Consider the following 23,069-nt stretch of genomic DNA (forward strand, 5'->3'; position numbering starts at 1 on the left):
TTTGGGGTGGAACATGCTATACATGTCAATTAAGTATTGAAATGTATTTAGCTTTAACTGTGGATTTTTCTGTTACTCATTGTATTTCCATCAGTTTACTCCATGCATTTTGAAGGTCCATTATTAGGTACATAGATGTTAAGAATTGTTATGTTCTTTTGATGAATTAGCCTCTTTATGATGATGAAATGACCTACCTAGTCTCGGGTAATATGCTTTGCTCTGAAGTCTACCTTGTCTAATATATTAATATTAGACACTTCACATTTCTTTTGTCACTTCACATTTCTTTTGACTAGTATAGCACATTTTCCCAACCTTGTGTTCTTTAACCTATTTTGTATCTTCATATTTGAAGTGCATTTCTTGTAGGCAGCATATAGTAGTCTTGCTTTGTTATCTAGTTCAACAATCTGTGTATTTTATTTGGAGTATTTTGATAATTTATATTTAATGTAGATATTGATATAGTTAGACTTAAATCTATCACTTTGCTATTTGTTTTCTATTTGTCCCATTTGTCCTTTGTTTTCTTTATCCTCTTTATGACTTCCTTTGGATTGAGTACCTTTTATTAATTATTTTTTTGTCTGCTTTGTTAGCTTATTAGTTATAACTCTTAGGTCGCTTTAGGGTTTATGCTGTTCATCATTAGCTTATCATAGTCAATCTTCAAATTATTACACTACTTCATATAGGTGTAAGAATGCTATAATAGTATACTTCTGTAATTAGGTTTTACCCTTTCTAGTTTTTCCTCTTTTCTTTTCTGTGTGTGTGTGTGTGTTTTTATTTTTTTTTAGATGGAGTTTCACTCTTGTTGCCCAGGCTGGAGTGCAATGGCGCAATCTTGGCTCACTGCAACCTCCACTTCCTGAGTTCAAGCAATTCTCCCGCCTCAGCCTCCGGAGTAGCTGGGATTACAGGCGTGCACCATCATGCCTGGTTAATTTTGTATTTTTAGTAGAGATGGGGTTTCTCCATGTTGGTCAGGCTGGTCTTGAACTCCTGACCTCAGGTGATCCACCCACCTCGGACTCCCAAAGTGCTGGGATTACAGGCGTGAGCCACTGTGCCCGGCCACGCTTTCTAGTTTTTGTGCAGTTACTATATACTTTATTTTGCACATGACATAAACTCCACAACATATTGTAATTATTTTTATTTGAATAATAATCTTTTAAATAATTTTAAATAATAAAAGATACATACTTACCCATGTATTAACCATTTTTAATGCTCTTTATTCCTTTGCATAGATCCATCTTGTATCATTTTCTTTCTGCTTACAGGACTTTCTTTAACATTTCTTGTAGTGCAGGGCTGCTGGAGATTAATTCTTTCAGACTTTGTATGTCTGAAAAAGTCTTATTTGCCTTCATTTAAAAAAGACATTCCTGCTAAGTACAGACATGTTGGGAGTTTGTTTTGTTTTGTACTGTCAGTAGTTTCAAGATGTTGCTACAATAACTTCTCATTTATATTGCTTCCGAAGAGAAATGTGATATCATCTTCATTTTTGTTTCTCTGTTCTTAATGTGTCTTTTTTCCTCTGGCTAACTGTAAAACTTCTCTTTATCTCTGGTTTTGAGCAATTTTGTTATGATGTTCCTTGAAATTTTCTTTGTTTCTTATGCTTGGGGTTCGTTGGTAGCCTTGAATCTAAGGTTTTATAGTTTTTATGAACTTGAAAAAATTCCACTTTCATTTCTTTAAATATATATTTTTTATTCCCCTCCTTGCTCTTCTCCATTGGGGAATCTAATTGCACTTATATTTGGCTTCTTGAAATTGTCCCTTAGATCACTGGTGCTCTTCTTGTTTCTTAAAAAATGAACAAACAAATTAAAAACTCATCTTTTTTCTCTGTTTTATTTGGAATAATTTCTGTTGCTATGTCTTAAAGTTCATGAATCTTTCTTTTGAAATGTTTAATCTAATGTTAAGCTAATCCAGCACATTTAAAAATATCAGATATTGTAGTTTTCATCACTAGAAATTCTTTTTGGGGTTTTCTTATATTTTCCATGTCTCTACGAAACACTTTGAACATATTGAATACAGTTATAATAAATTTTTTTTGCTAATTCTAATATCTTTGCCAGTTATGGGTCTATTTTGATAGATTTTTTCATCTTACTATAAATCATATTTTTCTGCCTCTTCACACATCTGAACATTTTTGATTGAATGCCAGATATTGTGAATTTTACTTTGTTGGATTCTGGTATATTTTTGCTTTCATATAAATATTCTTGAACTTTGTTTTTGCACGCAGTTCAGTTACTTGAAAACAGCTTGATCCTTTTTGGTCTTGCTTTAAAAATTTTTAGATGAGGGAGCATTTAATTCAGGACTGATTTTTCTCATGACTGAGACATGGTCCTGGCCCTTCGGCATACTACATTCAGTGCCCTGTTAATTATGAGCTTTTCCAATTGGCTGGTAGAAACAGACGCTATTCCTGGACTAGTGTGAGCCATAGGTAATGTTCTCTGTAATCCTTTAGGGTAATTTTATCTCCCTAGCTTTGAGTCATTTCCTTATATGTACATACTGATCAGTGTTCTCCCGAATATTCAAGAAGGACCCTGTGTAGATCCCTGGAATTCTCATTTTGGGCAGCTCACTTATCTCTAGTACTCTGTCCTGCAAACTCTAGCTGCCTTTATCTCCCCTGACTCCCACTTGTTCTCCTAAATTCAAAGAATCTATCAGGCTCTGCTTGGCTGAAGGTGGTAAGCTGAGGTAATCTTAGGGCTCTCTTCATTTGTTTCCCATCTCCTGGGGATTACTTTCATTACCAGTATCCAGTGTCTTAAAAAACATTGTTTCTTTTATTTTGTCAAGTTTTTTGGTTGTTTCAGATGGGTTGGTAAATCTGGTCCCCGCTGGTCCCTGCTATTCCATCTTAGCTGCAATTGAAACTCATTTCCTTGTTGATTAATGATGGATTTGGAAATTTTTCTGCCATTTTATTTTGTACTTTCTATTTATCTTGATTTTTTAAACCAGATCTTATTCTATATATTTCCTCTCTTTCTATGACCATAATCAGACATTTATCAAGTGCTTATGACATGCCAGGCCCTAGACTAGGTGGTTTGCATAGTTTCCTCATTGAATACTTGCAATGACCCAAGGAGGTAGCTATTATGAACGTGCTTTATTTACATAAGAGGGAACTGAGTCATAGAACTTTTAATTACCCCCTTCCCTTACCCAAGGTTACATATTGGGGCTGACGTCCAAGTCTTTCTCTAAAGCCTGTGCTTTGTGTATACAATACTGTCCCACATCTAGATGAATGATTTCAAACCACCAGCTTACAGCTAATATGCTATACTCTAGGTATGTTAATTCATGTATTTGTTAAGCTAATAGGACATTTCCTTCTTTGGATTGAAGGATCAGTGATTTGGTTGGCTCACTGGCCTCTACACTCATTTTCTGTGGAGCTAATCCAGAGTAAACTCTGGCTTATGTTGTCAAATAATTTAATATTAGCAGAGTAAGCTATGATATTAGTAACTATGAAAATGCTGCGAATAGTTTAATGACAAAGTACCTGGAGAAATAAGCCTATTGGTTTGGGAGAGAATGGATTATAATAATAACTTATTTAAAGATATTATTTTATCTCTCTTGGTATAGAAAGCAGACCCTGGGTGTCAGTAGAATTCACCCTCTGAATTTTAATAATCTGTTCATTACTTGAAGACTTATCCTGATTGTCTATCTTACTTGCTCTAGAGCTTAGCACAGGCCTCGTGATACTGAAGAGCAAACAAACATGTTGTAAGAAGGCTCCACTCTTACAATGCCTGAGCATTTACAGTCTGCACCTGGTGCCCGACCTCTGCTAGGGGTGAAGGGCACCAGGAGCCTGCACTCTTGGAAGTTCTCTTGGCTGCTCCCTGCACACTCTGTATGACTGTCATAACCATAGGGTAGTTTACCCGTTAGGAGGCATCCTCTGTTGTCCTGCCGCTTTGCCAGTGGAGCTGCACAAGGTTGTAGCAGGAATTTCTAATTTCATGTCATCAAACATTTATTTGGTGATCCTTAAATGTGCCTACCTGAGGCTGGTAATGTGACACAAGAATTATCCATGAAGCTTAAAGGCAGAAATCCCTTTTGAAACAGGTTGTACAATGGCATGGTATGTCATGTACCTCATTACTGAATTCTGAGCGTGTTCAAATCTTTGAATTTTATGATTTAATTAACCAAATGCACCTTTCAGAGCAAGGGAAAAATGGAAGACTCTGAAAGCCCTCAAATTTCTTAAGTCCCTGCTATGAACTACATTGAGCAGGTATCGCCTTGCAGACAAAGATGGAAACTTATACAAGCCCGAAGGCACAAGGCTGCTTCCTACTGGAGCTGTCATGAGAACAAATGGCGGAAACAGGAAGTCTGTACCGCATGGTGGAATTTATGCCAGAAAATTAAAGGGATATAATCCATTCGTTCCAGCTTCACAAACGGCGTGTTAGACATTTGCAGTAGGGAATGGCCTTGGGATTTTAAACATCTCTTTCCAAAGAATTGAAAGTTTTTGAGAAAGATTATTATTAAAAACTTGAACACACCACACTTTCCACTGTAAGGAGAAGACAAGCAAGAAGATTTGTAGATTCTGTATTCTTCCAGCAAGCCAGGGATGTGAGTGAAGAAAAAAATGTACTTCTGCATTCAGAAAGAATTTATAACAGGTCTAGGCTGTGTCAGAAATTGTGCTAGATGCTCAGGATGAAAGCCGGATTAAGAAAAATACAAAAATGACCTTCAGATTTGAGGAGAGATACATAAACATGCATAGGTGACAAGTAAGTAGCAGACGAAGTGGGGGTGCAGAGAGCAGGCAATATTGCTTGGGAGAATAAGAAGGTGTTGCAGAGGAGGCGAGGTTTGAACCGAGCCTAAAAGGATGTTTAAATGTCTGTAGGGAGAGAAGGGCAATATGGGAAGAGGCCACAGCGTGTACAAATGCATGGAGCCCTGAAAATAACCCACACCTGTGCTGGAGACAGTTGGTCATCCAGTCATTTATTGTGTCCTTTCATTTGTGTTACTATAATGGAACACCTGAGGCTGAGTAATTTATATAGAAAAGACGTTTGTTTGGCTCATGGTTCTGCAGGCTGTACAAGAAGCATGGCAGCAGCATCTGCTTTTGGTAAGGGCCTCAGGAAGCTTTTGCCAAGGGTAACTGATGGGTCATATAGTAAGAGAAGGAGCAAGAGGGAGGAGGAGGGGTGCCACCCTCTTTTAAAAAACCAGCTCTTGAATGAATGGAGTGAGAACTCACTACAGGGGAGGGCACAAAGCTATTCATGAGGGATCCACCCCCATGATCCAAACATCTCCTACCGGGTCCCACCTCCAACCTTGGGGATCACATTTCAACATGAGATTTGGAGGGGACAAATATTCAAACTCTATCACCTGTGTTTAAGAATGATTGGAGATAACAAGAAAAAATGTCCAGGTGTGGTTGGAGGCCACATTATTCTGTGGATTTACAGTAGGGGCATAACTGGATCATATTTGTATTGAGGAAGTTAATTCTGAAAGTAGCATGGAAATGAAAGAAGGCCTAAGAGTACATAGACACTAAGAAAGCACTGCAGTGCTCTGGGTGAAGATGATGTGTGCTAGACCATGGCTGAGGCTGTGTTTAGGTCTTTGTTGTTATTCGGTAATGAGGTTTGCCAAAAGACATGGCCTTCATTATCACCTGCCTGGTTCTATGACTGAAGGGTTGTTCTGGCTTTCTCCCACTTTTGTGTTTTGTTCTGGACTAGGCAAAACTGTGCTCTGCTTAAATGTCAGACAGGCCTGTGGTGGAATCCCATCTCCACCTTCTTTCAAATGTGAGACTTGAGGCCTTTCTGGCCTAACTTGACTCATCTGTAAAATGAAACAATGGTGCCCAGTGCAGTGCCTTTAATAAATTTTGGCTGCTTGTGACTCTTGGAAGGGGCAACTAAGTCTTATACATTTTCATAGACTGGACTCAATGCATGGATGTTAATTAATTTGTCTTGATTCAAACAATAAGTTCAAGCAAGGGATTTAATCTCCTGGACATCTCAACTCTTCTGTGTAGTGTGCTGTCTGTCATCCTTCCACTTTGGTGTAGTATGAGAAATTGCTTATGTTAACTTTACTGAGCATTGCTAGATGACATGATTCAATTTTGGAGCCAGATGTGCCTGTAGATATCATCTGTTAAATTTTCTTCTTCATGCATCCATTCATTCAGCAAACAATAACTAAATATCTAAATGTGCCGGGTGTTAGGCTAGGCAGAGGCAAAAATGAATTAAGCCAAATCTCTGCCTTCTGGATGCCCAGAGACTTTGGGGGTTGTAAGCACATAGTTTGTAATACAAAGTACTATGGAATTTTGGGGAGGAGAAGAGAAAATAGGGCTTGAATGAGCAAGAAAAGGATACAGAGGGTTCATGAAAGAGTTGACACTTGAGCCAAATTTTGAAAGATATATCCAGGTTTACTAGGTTGGCATTGGAGGTGAAGGTGGGTCAAAATTCCAGTATTTTTGTGTAACAAACTACCTTAAAACTCAGGAGGCTACAACATCAGTTTTTAATTTCTCATGATTGTATGGGTTGGTTGGGCTCCCTGGGGTAGTTCTGTTCCACATGGTGTTGACTGAGGTCAGTAAAATTGGGGGCTCTGATTGATAGGTTAGAAGGTGGCTTCTTTCACATGCTAGTGCTTCAGCTAGGATGGCTGGAATGACTAAGGTCTAGCTGAATCAGCTCTCCCTCTTCTCTCTGTCTGTCTCTCTCTCACATTTAGTTGTCAACCCAAACTTCTCTATGTGGTAGGCTGGATCCCAAGAGGGAAAAAGGAAAGGGGCAACACCTCTTAAAGTCTAGGCCCAGAAGCCTCAGAGCATCACTTCTGCCATTTCCTATTCATTGAAGCAAGTCATGAGCCAGCTTGGATTGAAGGGCAAGGAAGCAGTCTCCATCTTCTGACGGGAGGAGCAGCCTGCATGCAGACAGGTGGGAGGAATGGTTGGTGGCCATCTTCGGAGACAATTTAGCCCAGTCAGTCCAGGCAGAGGCCAGAGTATTTGTAAGAGGTGCCTCTACTCTCAGTAAAGGAAAAGACAAGGTCAGCTGCTGAGAGCACAGAGGAAAGGGGAGGGCCAGGGACCTGAGGAGAATAAGGGAATAGATGAAAATATCTGGTAGGGATCCTGAGGGTTACAGAGCCATGTTGCAAACCATACCACAGTGGTAACTACAAAATAGATGTTAGTTCCTGACCTCTCCCCCTCTCTTTGTTGTGAGATCATCTCCAGTGGCACTCCTCAGTGGGCAGCAGTGGAAATGACCTGTGAGGAATCAGACCCAGAGAGAAAAGAAGTTATCTCAGGTCACCCAGCAAGACAGTGGCAGAACCACGAGTCTCCCATACGAGACAGTGCTGGGCTTTCTGTGCACTATAAGAAGTCGTTTTGATACTACAAATTGCTACTCTCATCACTTCTGCTTCACTTTTGGTGATCTAGGATTGGAGAGAAGGTGGACACACAATGGGAAAGGATAAAAATAGTACTTACATATCTTTCTGGGGCACTGGATCCAAGAGATCAACTCATTCTAACAAACGTTTATTGAGAACCTACAATGAACCAGGAACTAAACTGCAGACACAAAAATGAGTAAGACGTGGATCTTGCCCAGAGAGGCTTATAGTCTAGGGGAAGACAGACATTCCAAGAATTAATTTCAGTACAGTATGATCAGACAGTGATTGACCAATACACAGAGAGGGGGAGCGGTCAGGAACTAACATTGATTTTGTACTTACCATTGTTGGAGACTGAGGCAGGAACTTTAACCTCAGAGGGACACTCAAAGCAGGAAGACAAGTTAGGAGATCAGTGTTCCTAGGCATTTGAGAGCATCTTACTCCAAAGAACTTAGACTTCTTTGCTTCTTCCTGAAGAAAAATCAGTAGGGAAATATTCAAGAATCGAAGACTGCAGATTGTCTCTGTGAATACTTGTTTCTAGTTGTTTCTTTAAAAAAAATTACTGTTAAGGCAGCTGGAAAGATGAATTGAATCAGGAAAACACTCAAGCAGGAGTGCAGTTGGGAGACCAGTGTCCAAGATGAAAGGGTTCAAGTGCTTCTTAGCGCAACCAGTGGGTTTAAACTTTTTTACCATCACCCCCCACATTAAGGGGTAGGCACAACACCTTGTCAACGGTGGTTCATCCCACCCGTGATTTTCCTGAGTGGATTAAAATCGAGTAGTGTTTAAAGGATTACTGTTTCGACATAGCAATGCACAGAGTAAAATCTTCGCCCCTCCTTCCAGTGGCCCTTCTCATTCTAGCCTCTCCCCAACCCTCCTTGTTTCCGTTTATCCTGTGTTCTATTTCACCAGATATTTTTGGCGTGTCCATTGTGTGCCAGATACTGCCAAGCACTAGGGAAATGACAGTGAACAAGATATAGTTTTAGACAGAGTGGTTTACTAGTAAGAAGGTTATAGGAGGGCACTTTCATATGGGGGGAGCCTATCTATTATCTTCCAAATCATATGGAAGCATACTGTTACCCTGCCTTGAAGAACTGGATCTGCAGAATAAAACAATCCCCACGTTTCACCCAGGACAAATTGATAAAAATTATTCAACATGGAGGCGTGATGGTATTTTAAGTTATTACAGTCAAGGATAAAGGAAAAAATTCTTTAGATATCAGGCCTAAGGAAAATAATAAATTACCCATGGGGGAAAATGGTGCTGGCCTCAGACTTCCCCACAGTCCCAATATCTGGAGACGATGTAGCAATGTCTACAAAATTCTGAGGGAAAAAAATGACCCAAGAATAGTAAATCCTGGCAAGTGTTTGTATAGACATAAGAGCATCAAGCAGATATTCCCAAGCACAGAAGAATTTAGAGATTCAGCGTTTCTGAGTCCTCCTTGAAAAATCCACTTGATAGACTCCAGTCAACTAAGACATGAGTCAGAATGAAAGTATTCAGGAATGAAGAAGCTATGTGATAAAAAGACAAGTGAGCAATAAATCCATTTAAACTGAGAACCCAACCTACAAATCCTGGAGTTATGAAGTTACTTCCAAATCCTGAGAATTATGAGTATAGCGTAGAATGTAAATGTTAAAAATCTTATTATTATCGAGTAAAAAAAAAGTAATATAACTAATGAAAATCAGAAGGTGTCAGAACGTGGGAATTAGGGCTACTTTCCTCACCTTTCATAGCATAGAATTAGTTAATGGTGTCTGAAATTGAAATATGAAGTATATAGGCCAGACACAGTGGTTCACACCTGTAATCCCAGCACTTTGGGAGGCCGAGGTGGCTGGATTGCTTGAGCCCAGAAGTTCAAGACCAGCCTGGGCAATGTGGCTAAACCCTGTCTCCACTAAAATACAAAAAAAAAAAAAAATTAGCTGGGCTTGGTGGCATGTGCCTGTAGTCCCAGCTACTCAGGAGGCTGAGATGGGGAGTTCACTTGAGCCAGGGAGGTTGAGGCTGTAATGAGTCTTGATTGTGCCACTGTACTCCAGCCTAGGTGAGAGAGTGAGACCTTGTCCATCTCTAACTAACTGTTTTTGATAAACTTATTTTCTTAACCCTAAAGAGCTTCTTTAGAAAATAATACCTCCTGCAGAGACTCATTTCTTCAGTTTCCTCTTTTTCATTCTTAGAACCAAGTAAAATATAATTTTACACACTTTATTTCTAGAAATAATTGCCCATTTTGTCTGTGTGTCTAGCCAGCTCCAGCTGGGTGTACACGTGTATAGCAAGGTATCTGGAATAATGCTTACCTAATATTAGTAAGTTTTTCCTGGATGGTGATGATGTAGATTAGTTTTGTTTTGTTATTCATGCTGTTATGTATTTATTGATTTTTTAAACAATTAGCAAATAGTATTTCCATAAAAACAATAATTTTAATACTAAAGAAAAAAGGCAGAGAAAGAAAGAAGGAAGGGAAAAAGTAACACCTAAGACCTGTTATAGGGAGGCACATGGCAGGCATATGTCTGGGCATGAGATGCAGAGCTTGACTTTTCTCTCTCTAGGCCTCGGTGTCCTCACCTGTGAATGGGATGAATAATTGTATCTGCTTCTGAGGGCTGCTGGGAGGAGCAAATGAGAGAATGCCTGGGAGGCACATGGTACAGTATCTGGCCCATCAGTAGTTCAATACACGTTGACTTAAAAGGTTAAAATCATGCAATATAAGAACAGAAGAAACTTCAGTGATTCACCTTTTTATTTAATTTTACCCATGAGAAAACTGAAGCCCACATATGGTTGCCCAAGATCACATGGCTAGGTATGGCAGGACTTCCGTCCTCAAAGCCAGCTCCTTGTCCATCCCATCCAGCAGGCATAGGAATGAGAACAGAGGCATATGTAATACACAGTCATCCAGTACTTGGGCTAATACTAAAATTACTCTTTAGTATTCTCAGAGCACACACCAATAGATACATAATAGGAGAGGATATCTACGTACCCTTAGCTAAGGAGAAACACTTGCATTTAAAATTTTACCCCAGAAAACTCCACAGCATGGATTACACATTTGTGGCTAACTAAGAGGTGACTGAAGTTGGTCCTTTTATCCCCATCCAGCTAGAGTTAATCCTATCTTTATCATCTCTTTCACTTTGAGATAATGAACTGAATAGCTGAACTCCCAATTGTTCAATTAATTAATTTTTTTCTATTGCCACTTTGTGGCAATAAACATGGTGTCTCAATAGACCCTGCCTCTTGAGTTTTTCCTGAGTCATTGGGAAAAGCCTATACATTAATATTCATGGCAGGGTGGGCATCAAAGTAGACCTCCTGGCAGAGATTTCACATGCTGTTTGTGCAATTAGTGAAGATTAGTGATTCTCGGAATGGATAGGGTTTTGCAAATGGTGGAAAGGAGAGAAGGAAAAAGTAGAAGATCATTTCATAAGCAATTTTAAATTTAAAAGTATGACATCAAGAAGCAACCTCCCAGGGAGAGATGTGATTATCATTGTGAAATTTGTCAAAGAAAAAAAAAAAAGTCAAGTTGACAGCTTCAAAGCCAGAGCAGTGATGTTATCACTTCCTGTGGTATTATCTGTACCATGGAGCAATTAGACTAGTACAAAGTGGGCTGGGTTAACATAGTATTCTAAGTAATAGGCCCAGACCATCCAGCTGCCTAAATTGATTAATGATATGCAAATGGAATTTACAGACTACAGTCATCTGTTTTCTTCCTCTAGGCTGTCTGTCTTTTCCTAACCCCATTCTTTGCTTTCACTAAAATGAAGAGAAAGTACTGTGAATATCAGGCAGCAAATTACTTTCTTTTTTTCAATTTTAGCTTTCTGAGCTATGATTCAAGCCATCAAAAGTCTATCTCCAGCCTATAGGGAACTGACATATTCATTGTTGTATGTCACTTCTCCAACTCTGCTGCCGTCATTTCAACTAACCTTAAATTGAATACTGTCGGCATCAGCTAGAATCCCTAACAAACGGCGCGCCTCATCACCATACTAATTGAATGAAAAATGTTCCATGATTTAAATACCTATTGCTTCATCATTTCCCCAGTCTTTGGCTTCCATTTTGTCAGGCATGAAGTTGGTGATTAAACCCAAGGCATAATTATTAGCAACAGAGAAACCGTTGTCCCATCTTGCAGTTTCCTGACCAGGTGCAGACTCCCAGCTCCACACTGAGCATGTCTGTCAGTCTTATGAACAATCCCCACAGAATAAGTGACTGATTTTCTCTTTATAATCACGGAGGCGCTTTACAGCAAATTGTCCCACTAGACCTCTACTTCTGAATGGCATAATGAACATTTCAGTGTGGCGAGAAGTTTATATATTGAAAGGGGGTGTCAGAGTTGGAACTAGGACGCTGGCATCTTTTATCAATACACCTACCGTGGCTGCCTCCCACCACTCTGGCCTCTGTTGCTTTTGACAGTTGTGTAAAATGAGGAAAGCCTTATGAAGCAGGGTGGGAGCAACCTGTTTACAAAGTTCTGGATTTGAGTGCAAGTAAAAAGGAAGCTTGTCTGAGCCTAAAGAAAGAGCTGTGTACAGGAGGGGTGTTGTCATAGAAAGCAATTTACACAGGAGAATGAGGACAGTTTTGTGTTCAGGAGTTACAGAAAGGACACTTTTTAAAAGCTCGTTTCAGAGACTAACAAAACAAGGCTGATTGACTTTAGATTTGAGTTACTCGAATTTGGTGCATCCAATTCAGTGAACCTGTCTGCCAAGCTATCAGATGGAGAAGATAACCTGGGTGAGTGTGATGAAAGACACTCAGAGTGCTACTCTTCCTCCGCCTACCACTAGAATGCAAAAGTGCAGCTGGTTTTTCTCACTTGTCCAGTAATAGAAGCTCTGGGGTTTGAAAGCCTAATGCTTTGTAGCTCAACCCAGATATCTGTGGACTTCATATGGGTTCTGCTTACACATTCTAAATTCTGGGCATTTTCCCATTGCAGGGATGATGTACCCCTTGAAGCGAAGTTACCATAGCATCTTCTTCTTTCAAAAGCTTTCACATTACTAATATTCATTTATGTCCACATTAAATTAAAAGGTAGAAATCTTCTAAAACTCAAATTTGTATCTGGCAGAGACTTTTCCTCTATGTTAATGCTCTTTTTCTTGCACCCAGATGCATATCCGTGGACTTTGAGGCTACATTCATGAGCCATTTCCAAGAGGTGTTATTTTCTTTCTTCTCAACTGCAAGGTTTACAGATTATTAGATTATTTGCAGATATGGAAATGTCTATCATATATTTACAAACTACAAACCACATAAAAAGAACATTGTCTTTCTAATTTACATTTTTGAAATTTAAATACTTGATAACTTTATGTGAATAAGTAGCTTGAACTTCTGGTGATTAGTTTTTGATTATTTTAACTTTTGGGAATAATTTATAGAACATAGAGAAATGTAGAATGCCCATAAAGTAATAGACCATTGCTGGGTGGTTTTGAATAAAATCTCTTCCTAATGAGAATTCAAATACATTAGGTTCTGGAGTTCCTCCACTTAAAGTTTAAGGTAATATTTTTAATGTCACATTTTTATCCATCCAGACTTTGAAAAAGTGTTTCTTCTACATCAAATCCAAAGGCAATGTGGTGTAAAACACCAGAAAATTGGGTGTAAAGGTGAAAGAATCCTAATCTAACCACTCATTGGCTGGTGACCTTGAACGAGTCACTCTACCTGGCTGTCAATCATCTGTAGAATGAGAGGTCATGACTCTAAGGTTCCTTGCAACTTGAAAAATTTTGTGAATTCAATCTCAGTGCTTTGCATAAAGTGGAATATGAGATGCCTGCTCGGAATATGTTTAGAATCTATTTGCTAGTCACATATTGAAAAATATCACAAGGATAAGGAATTCCATCGGCACGCAAATATTAATTTTGACTTGGAAATAACAAGACAAATGGCCGACTAATCACCCTTGATACAGAGAAAGTCAGGTTCAACTCCAGGATAATGTATTATTCTTGTGTGACAATGTGTGAATTGTATAACAGAATAAGGAATCTACTTGTATGTTAAGTGAATACACTTCTTGTTATGGAAAAAGCAATGTTTTCAAAGATGATCTTAAAGTCTGGGATGTGTTAGAACTCACTGTAGAAAGTATTGATGATAGTAATAAGTAAATATTAAATGAATGAATGAAGCATATAATTATAACAGTGGCTTTCTGAGTGTGTGTTTTAATAGGATATACTGTGAATATTTGTGCCTTGAAAAGTGCTAGGGTGAATTGTATCACAAATACATGACTTTGAAGGTTTTCAGGTCAACTCTAATGTGACAACAAATCTCATGAGCCTTGCTGATCTCTGCCTGCATTTGTTGTAATGCCATAAAAGTCATTCTGTGACACATTACACCATGACAAATACTTTGACCACTGCTCACACATCGATGAGGAGTAAGTTTTCCGGCCAGTTTCTGGTGGGGGAGGGAGAAACCACCTCCCATAATCTATCTATTAACCATCAACAGTATGAAACAGAAATTTAGGAAACTTTTCACCTGCTCATTTGATTTGAGTCAGTTCTAACTGGCAACTCATGGCAGCATCATTTTCCAGGAGGTTTACACAAAAGAAGCTAGAGGAAGTGGCCCTAGTTCCCCACATCAGTCAGTTTCTTCTTCAATTTTCTGGCTGTTTGAACCTCAGTCTTCCTGCAGGGTTTGGGCTTTGCCCACTCTTGCTGACCTAAGTGGAGGGGACCATGCCATGTTCTGGCCTTTTCCTCCTCTCAGGGTAGGTGACAGTCAGACATAGTCCCCAGAGATCTCTCCCTACCTGATCACCTCCAAAGGTCTCACAGTGTTGACTTGCCACATTTCAGTGGGCTGCCTATTCTTCCTTAACCTTTCCCAGAATCACAGCATGGCTTTGTATATATAAGAAGATTCAAAAATTCAGGTTATATAGCACATAGGACATGGAACATAGACTGCACAATAGCCAAGACACAATGCAGCAACAAAAGCTCAACCATGAAAGGAGAGGATATGTCCATTGCTTACAATCGATCATGCTCTGGCTGTTTATACTGATGGTTGAATGAAAGGTGCTTTGAAAGAGAAAGGATTCATTACCTTGTTTCTGTGACATATATTAAATCTCTGTAAAAGGGACAAGCCTCAAAAGAGAGAGCAGAGGAAAGCCAAGCTCTTGGGCACAAGGAGGTATCTGGCATCTTTTGGATGGATCTTATGGAACAGACTCTTTGCCCTATCTCTGATTAGATAGAGATCCTTTTGCTGACATTCTGGTTGGATAGGGCCCCTTTTGCTGTTTGGATAGGGATCCTTTTGCTGAATTGAGGATGACTAGCACTTACTTAGAGAGCAACTTTTGTCCCCAACCCTGGTTTTCAGATGATGTAACTGAGACTCTGAGAGACTGATGGACATCCTCAGGATTACCCAGAGACAAAGGGGGAATAAAATAAGATTCCAGACTTTCAGATCATACTATTTCCTTGTGAACATCAGGAAAAATGAGTTTTAAACATGGACAAACTGCTAGTAATGGGAATCCACTAATTCATTTAACAATTATTTCTCCTACTCTGTGCCAAGGCCTACTTCTAGGGGTCTGGAAATACAGTAATGAAATAAATACTGTCATTGCTTATATTCTATATGCAACTAAGCAAATAAACATCAATTATAATGTTATGTTCTTATTAGTGCTAGGAACAAAAATAAAGCAAGCAAGGAGAGAAAAGTGATATGGGTGCTATTTTAGATGACAGGGAAGCCCTCTCTGAGGAGGTGGTATTTGATCAGAGACCAGGACATAGTGATGGAGCAAGTCTTGTGACAATGTGGGGACAAGACATGCCCAAGCAGAGCCCCCCAGGCGGGATGGTTTGTGTGTTTAAAAAACACTCTAAAGGCCAGTGTGGCTGGATAAGAGTGAAACAGGAAGGGAGAGGTAGGAAGAAGACTGGAGAACCATCAGAATTGAGATCCTGGAAAGCTTTGGATTTTACTCTAAGTGTGATGTGAGCAACTGGAGGATTCTGAGCAAAAAGTGACAAAATGTGATTTGTTTCTGAGAACCATCAGCCTGGTTTTGGTGTGATTAATAGACTGTGAAGGGCAGGCATGTAAGCAGGGAGACCAGTTAGGTTGTCCAGGAGAGAAATAACAATGGGTTCATATGCACACACTGTGCCATGGCTTACCCAGCACCAATTCTCCATTTCCTCTCCCTTTCCTTCATCTACTAGACAAGCTGAAAAGCCAGATGTTTGGTCTCCTGATTCCCCTTGCAGCTCTAGGTGGCCATGTAATGTGGCTCCTGCCAGTGAGATATAACAGATAATCTGCTGAGAAAGCTTTAGGGAGATCCCTGCTTTTTTGGTAAGAAGGGTGACAGATATGGTTGACACTATTTTTTTTTCCTCCTTTTTCTCCTTAGCTTATCCCCTTCTTCTTATATGGAATTTGAACATGATACCTGGAGGTGCAGTAGTCAGTTTGTGACTGTAAGGCAATAAGCCAAGAATGACAGAATAGAAAACTAGAAAGATCTTTTGTCCTTCATGATATCATTTGGCCCCTGCACCAATCTTTGATCACATGCCTCTGGATGTCCTTACATGAGCCTAGTAATGACCCCCTAAAGTCAGGGGTCAGGATAATTTTTCTGTAAATGCCCAGGTAGCAAATATTTTAGGCTTGATGGGCCAGATAGTCTCTATCACAATGACAACTTTGCTGTTGTAGCACAAAAGCAGCCATAGACCACACACAAAAGAATGAGAATGGCTGTGTTTCAATAAAACTTTATTTACCAAACTAGATGGCAGGCCAGATTTGGTCTGGTGACCCTACTTTGCTGATCCTTGGTTTAAGCTTAAGTTTTCTCCAACTCTAGACATTCTTAAGTGATTCATGTAAACCAGAGTGGGACTCATGGAGGTGGCAAACGTGATTAAATTCAGAATGTATTTGGTATCAAGGATGACAATAAAGTTTGGGGTTTGAATTGAAAAACTAGTTGAATGACGCCATTTACGGAGATGAGGAACACTAGGAAGGATTAGATTGAGGAAGAAGATGGAAGGCAGTAATCTTGTCTTGGACATTTTAAGTTTGAGGCATTTACTTGGCATCCAAATGGAGATATCAATGAGGCAATTGAAAGAAAGGCTGGGGCTAGTGATATAAATGTGGATGCTATCATTGAGTAGCTGGAATTGAAGCCATGGGATGGGAGGAGATCACCTAAGGGACAGTGTAGATAGAGAAGTTCAAGGATTGAGCTCTAGGAGATTTGAACATTTTGAGATTAGGGTGAGGAGAATGATTCAGCAAAGGGGACTCAGAAGACATGGCCAGGTCTTTAGGAAGAAAATCATGACAGTGGGATTTCCTTGAATCCTAGTGAAAAAAGTGCGTGAAGGGCTTTTGAGAGGTTGAGTAAGATGAGGACCAAGAATGGGCCATTTGGTTTGGCATCATGGAAGTCATTAGAGACTTGACCAGGGAGATTTTGCAGAGTGTTTTTGATGGAGCGGTTTTGGTGGAGGATTGGGGATAAAACCATAACTCCCAAAGATGAATGGGCGGTAAGAAATTGGAGGTATCAATATTACAGAGTTATAATAGTTAGCACAATTTGGTGCCAATGAAAGGATAAACAAATAGACTAATTAGGACAGAATGAAAAGCCCAGAATCAGGCCCATGCATGTACGGACACTTGATTTCTCAAAAAAGTGTTGCCAAGATCAGTGGAAACGGATGGCCTTTTCAGGGAATAGTGCTGGGAGAGTTAAATATCGGTGTGGGAAAAAATAATTTCAGATTGTACACAAGAAACAATTACAAGTATACTGCAGACATATTTATGTATAAAAGATGAAGCAATAAAACAACTATAAAGTAACATAGAAGAACAGCTTCATGATATTGGAGAGACAAATATTTCTTAATCAGAACCAAAAGAGCAGTACTAATTATAAGGAATAGATTAATAATTTTGATTACACTGAAATTAAGAACTTCTTTTCATTAAGATACAGTATGTGATTAAGAGAGTGAAAAATCAAGCCAGTGAAAGCTGTGACTTTTGTAACATCTGTAACCAACAAATGCTTTATATCCAGAATAGGTAAAGAACACTAAAGCTCAATAAGAAAAAGACAAACAGCTTAGTGAAAATATACACAGGAGATATGAACAGATACTTCTCTAAAGAAGATATCCAAATGGTCAGTAGAGACGTGAAAAAGTCTCAACCCCATTAGCAATAAGGTAAATCAAATTAGACCACACATGCCTCTACATATCCATCGTAAAGATTAAAATTAGAGCCCCCAAAACCAAGTATTGGCAGGAATATGAAGCGACAATCCTATACTTTAATAGACAGTAAATTGGTACACACAACCGCTTTTAAAAACCGTTGACAGAATTCTACAACTGCACCTATGCCAACTCTTCGATCCAGCAATTCCACTCTTAGATATATACCACACAAAAATGCACGCAAGTGTGTGTTGGAGAAATGTACTGGAATCTTCATAGCAACATTGTTTATCATAGCCCCCGAACTGTAAACAGCCCAAATGCCCATCAATAGTATAATGTAGAAATAGTTTGTGGTAAATTTCTACAATATTATAACACAATAAAATAAATAAAATTCAAGTATTATGCAATAAATCATGAGACCTCACAAACATAGTGTTGAGTGAAAAAGGCAGACACCAAAAAATACACATGGTGTATGACTCTATTTATGTAAAGTCCTCTTGGGGAAGGGACCAGGCACCTGTTATAATATACGGCATTTAAGGATGCATGTGAGTTTCGGTGGCAAAGTCATTTTTAAAAAGCAAAGGAGTGATTACTTTAAAAATTAACTCTCTTATGCTGGGTTAGACTGGAAGTGGACTCAGAGGGAGTTTTGCATGCAGAAGATTTATTGACAAGTGCTTTCATGAACAACACATGTAAAGAGGAAAGAGAAGCAGTACTGGACAGAAGAGGAAGTTAAACTGCAATGCAATCACAAGGCCTTAGCTGATCCACAAAAAACTCTAGAGGTGGGATGTTCTTTAGAGTTATTCCCCCATTGAAGCAAGGTGGTTAGGCCTTTGTGCCCCATACAAATCAATTATCAGACACAGGCTTCCCCTAAGGAGGGGACCTATTTGGAGTGAAGCAATACCCAAATGTGATTTCCAGAGAAGGAATATTTCTGGTAGCTGAGGAAATGAATGCCTTTGTCCTGAAGAAGGGATCTGTGGTACATCACAGTGTCTACTACCTCAGGATAGTGGTTACCTTTAGTGGGCAGGTTGGGTGAACTCAGCATCTCAATGGTGTAATAAAGGATTCCATTTCTTTTCTTCCTTCTGCTCTGCTACCTCAGTGTGTTGGCTTTCCTCCATCGGCCAGCAGCTCTCATGGCTCCAAGATGGATGCTCCCATTGATGTAGACATCAATGTCCAAAAAAGACAAGGATGGGTTTTGTGAACTTTTTAAAAGCAAGGGGAATATTTTTAGGCACTCCCCACAGACTTCATCTCATATTTCACTGACCAGAATTGTGCCGCATGCCCATATTTAAACCAACCAAAGTGAAGGAGACTGGAACTATCCGTGATGGGCTTAGACCTGTCAAGAATCTTCCTCTGGGTGAGAGGAGGAGGGATGGTGGGTGAAATCCAGGTGTCTCTGAGACACATGGTCAACTGACACCTAAACAACATCGCAGTTTGCTTAGCAAGATAGAATGGCTATTGGGTGGAAAACCACCTGAATTTGCCAAGGGATACACTGAAGGCCTTTGACTCATGTCAGTTGGGTGCAAGATGGAAAAAAGAGCAAAAAAGTAGGGGTGGCAGTGCATAGACCCATTCAAATTTAGATGAGCTACCAAGGCAGTCGTGGATGATAGGCAAATCTATGGGCTGGATTTCCCAAACCCATTGAGCAAGACTCTACACTGTCTTCAGCTTAACATCCTTTCCTGTGCAATTTTGTATCAGATTTTGCCAGATCAATCTACATTTTAATGCAGAATAAAAATCCAATCTAGATATCAAGTCTGATCAAAGACCGGTGAAATATGTCCACAGTGTGCTATTCAGGTGCCATTCTGTCATATTTGAAAGCATCCCTCTGGAGAAATCTATAAACCATGTTTCCCTGCTTTTTACTTTATTATATTGGTAAAACTCCATTGCCTATTATTTTCCTCTGTCTGTTTCAAAACACTGTTTACTGATATGGAACTGGACTAATCAGTGACCTTTTAAGTACATCCTACATGCCCCTGAAACAGGAAAGCAACCGGAGGATACGCTTATGGTCATTATGCACAGATCCCTTTTTCTCCTTCAGCCTCTTTCAAAACACATGCCCTGTTATATCAAACACACTGGCAAGGAAACTCTAAATACGTTTGAAAATAGGTTTAAAAGATATCACTCTAATGTCACTTAATGCATGTGCAATAGTACAGCCATGCCATTTTGATCATTCTGAGCAAATGTAACTGAAATTGATTACTAAGTATTTACTGAGCGCTTCCACTGTTATTGAGGGGCTGTTTAGAACACAGAATTAAGCAGCATTCCTTACCAACAGAGTGCAATTCTCAGGGAGAGTCCAAGTGTTTAAAAACAGGATAAATGTTTCAGTCTTATAGGGTTTTCTGAGAGATATTGTTTCAAGGGAAATCAGAACAGAAGTGTAAAAGAAAAAGAAATAAAACACTACCAAATTATTAGGGAGGTCATTTTAGAGCTCAGTAAATCCTGATCTATCCCCTACTAAGCAGTCTTCTAAGAATTGCTTAGCAGGATTTTTTGGGGACTGCCAGGGTTCCATTTTTAAATAGATCAAAGGACTTCTGATTTAGAGGACTGGTTCATTAGGCTGGCATAATGAGCCATTTTAGGATGATGGGGTCCTATGGAAGCAGCTGTTGCTGGAAGCCACCAGCAAATGTATGAATGATCAGTGCAAGAATGATGTAAAGAACACTTAAGATATAATCTCATCAACTTTCTCTGGACTGGCAGGAAAAGCCAAGTCTTGGGAACTTCTTTGGTAATTTCAGGGAGAGTCCACACATTGTCATAAGGAGACCACTGTATGGCCCACTTTTTCATGACCAATGTCTCTGTGGCCAACCTGTTATCTGGATTTATAGACAAAGTCATGGCTAGGAAGATATATGTCTCACTCAACACTATTTCCCCTTCCACATCCTTGGAAGATTCTACCAATTACTAATCAGTAAAATATCACCCTACTCTCCTCCCAAGCTCAGATGACACCTCGGTATCCTTCTTTGCAGTGGGCTCCAGTGGACTGGAGATTGACTCAAAGCCTTCACCTTATGATTATGATTTTTGTCATCTTTATTGCTAGCAGTATTGCAATAATAATAATAAGCTAGCTATTTATTAATAGCCTTGCCTATTAGTAATAATAGGCAAGCTGGCGTTACTTTTTATGTTTTCTTTCCCACCCACTGGTTTATTATGTAATCGTTGCCAGAAACCCTTTATAAAATCCTTACATTATATTTTTGAATTTGCTATTGATTTTACTTGAGATTTTACTTTAAGAAGTAACTAAGCTTGCCCAACTAAAAAAAAAAATCTGAGTTTACTTCTCCTCACTGGCATCTCTTTATTCTGTTCACAGATGTCCATGCCATCTTACTATAACCTTTCCATCTCCCTGCAAAGAAACAAGTCCAATTCATCGACTACTGCTCTTGCGGCAAAAGCTCTATTTCTGTCCCTTAGGGCCTCCTTTCTGGCCCTGCGGTTCTCCTTGCCCCCAAAGACTGAAATCTAGCTCAGGGAAATCAGTGTGGCCTGGGAATAGCCTGGAAGACTCCAATGAAGAGCCAAATTTGGGTAGAAAGTGGCTGGATAGAGCTTTGCTGGGTAGTTAAGGCAGGCTAGAGGCAGAGGCATCACAGCAAAGGGAAAGGGTATCTGTGACTGACCCTGCCATTGGCCTATGCAATATCCATGACTCTGTTTTCCTACTAGCGAGCTCAGTTTGACTTTGGTAATGTGCCCAGTTGAAATGTGCATCTTCTAAGAGTTTTTCTGGGGCTCCTGGGCCTTTGATGACATCACTGACTGCAACATAAGCTCTGGCCTGGCAACCACTATACTTCTTATAATTAAGTGTGTCTTATATTAAGTGTGTCTTAATAATTAAGACACACTTCTTAATTATTTAAGTTACTGCAGCAGTAGGATTTTTCTGTTGCTCAGGATTGGATGCAATCCTAAAGGAGCAGGGTTTCCTGATGACCTCAGCACTGTTGTTGACATTTTGGACTGGATATTCTCTGTCATGAGTGGGGGTGTTGTGGTGTATTGAACAATGTAGGATGTTTTGCAGCATCCCCTGACCTCCACCCCCCCACTCAATGCCAGTAGCCACCCCCAGGTGGTGACAACCAAAAATGTCTCTAGACATTGCCAGATGTCCCCAGAAAAACTGCACTGCTTGAGAGACTGCAGCAGAACCTCCAAAGGCGTGGATGCAGTTATTGGTTTGAGTGGACAGAGATTCTGTTCAGATCTGTCACTGCATCTCTACAGTGCAGCTTCGAGTTTGCTTTCTATAACACTCTGCCTTGAATGTTTTGGGTTTTTCTGTGGCATTTACAAGGTAAGCACTGTTTTTCAGTATCACCATGTATTTTCCCTTGTCATTACTGTTGCCCCTTTTTAAAATTTTACATTCTATTTTTTATTTAAAAAAAACCAAAAGATTCTGCTTTATCCTTACCCCAAGATACCACTCTATTAATTGTTTATATTTAATTTGTGAGAGGTTTGAAGTTCAATTTTTAAACCATGAGGAATTATTTGCATTTTTATAAACATTTAATATTTACTTATGACTATCTGAAAATCAACTACACAAATTAAAACTGAATAGTATTTTCTATAAGAAACTCCATCACTTGGCTCATTCCTGGAGACAATCCCTGTTCCTGATTCCTTTTTCTTGTTAGTAACAACAGACACATTTACCATGTGACGTAAGCAGGAAAGAGGAGAGGGTACACCTTAGGTTACCCAGGCTCTACCTGGGTGGCCAAGCCTACAGGTGCATGCCTTGGTGGCATATGGCACCTTTGGATGGGTTCAGCCTGCAGAGGACAGGCTGTGAGATGACTCAACCTCACTCAGCCTCAGCCAGGTACCCCAAGGCCCTGAGAGCCCAACACAATCACATATAGTGGCTCTGCTTAGACAGAATGAACTATGATTTGTTGAAACTGAGGTTCTACAAGGCCATTCTGGCTTTATTAACTGAGAAAGAGTTTCTAGAACAAAGCTCCAGTCTGCTCCCCACCAAAAATGGCCTCTCTTTTAGGATTAGCATATATTTGCTGCTTATCTAGACTTTAGAAAATAGCTCATCAACTGCTTCCCAATTTAATATTTTTTAAAAT

General features: G+C 39.6%; 1 long non-coding RNA gene across 15 annotated transcripts in view; it reads right to left on the minus strand.

The window, feature by feature from the left end:
• The window catches only part of LOC107986777 (uncharacterized), a 303,857-nt gene that overhangs the window by 47,762 nt on the left and 233,026 nt on the right, over positions 1–23,069 (minus strand). For 7 of the 15 annotated variants that reach the window (XR_001745132.2, XR_007060256.1, XR_007060257.1 and 4 more), the window contains one exon: positions 7,855–7,986. This is a non-coding gene — a long non-coding RNA (uncharacterized LOC107986777). Of the gene's footprint in view, positions 1–1,222; positions 1,825–6,499; positions 7,987–18,909; positions 21,927–23,069 lie in introns of those variants that run through there. The other 8 variants (XR_001745122.2, XR_001745127.2, XR_001745121.2 and 5 more) reach the window with 6 other exon arrangements.

The sequence above is a fragment of the Homo sapiens genome, chromosome 7 (genome assembly GCF_000001405.40).
Source record: "Homo sapiens chromosome 7, GRCh38.p14 Primary Assembly".
Classification (NCBI taxonomy): domain Eukaryota; kingdom Metazoa; phylum Chordata; class Mammalia; order Primates; family Hominidae; genus Homo; species Homo sapiens.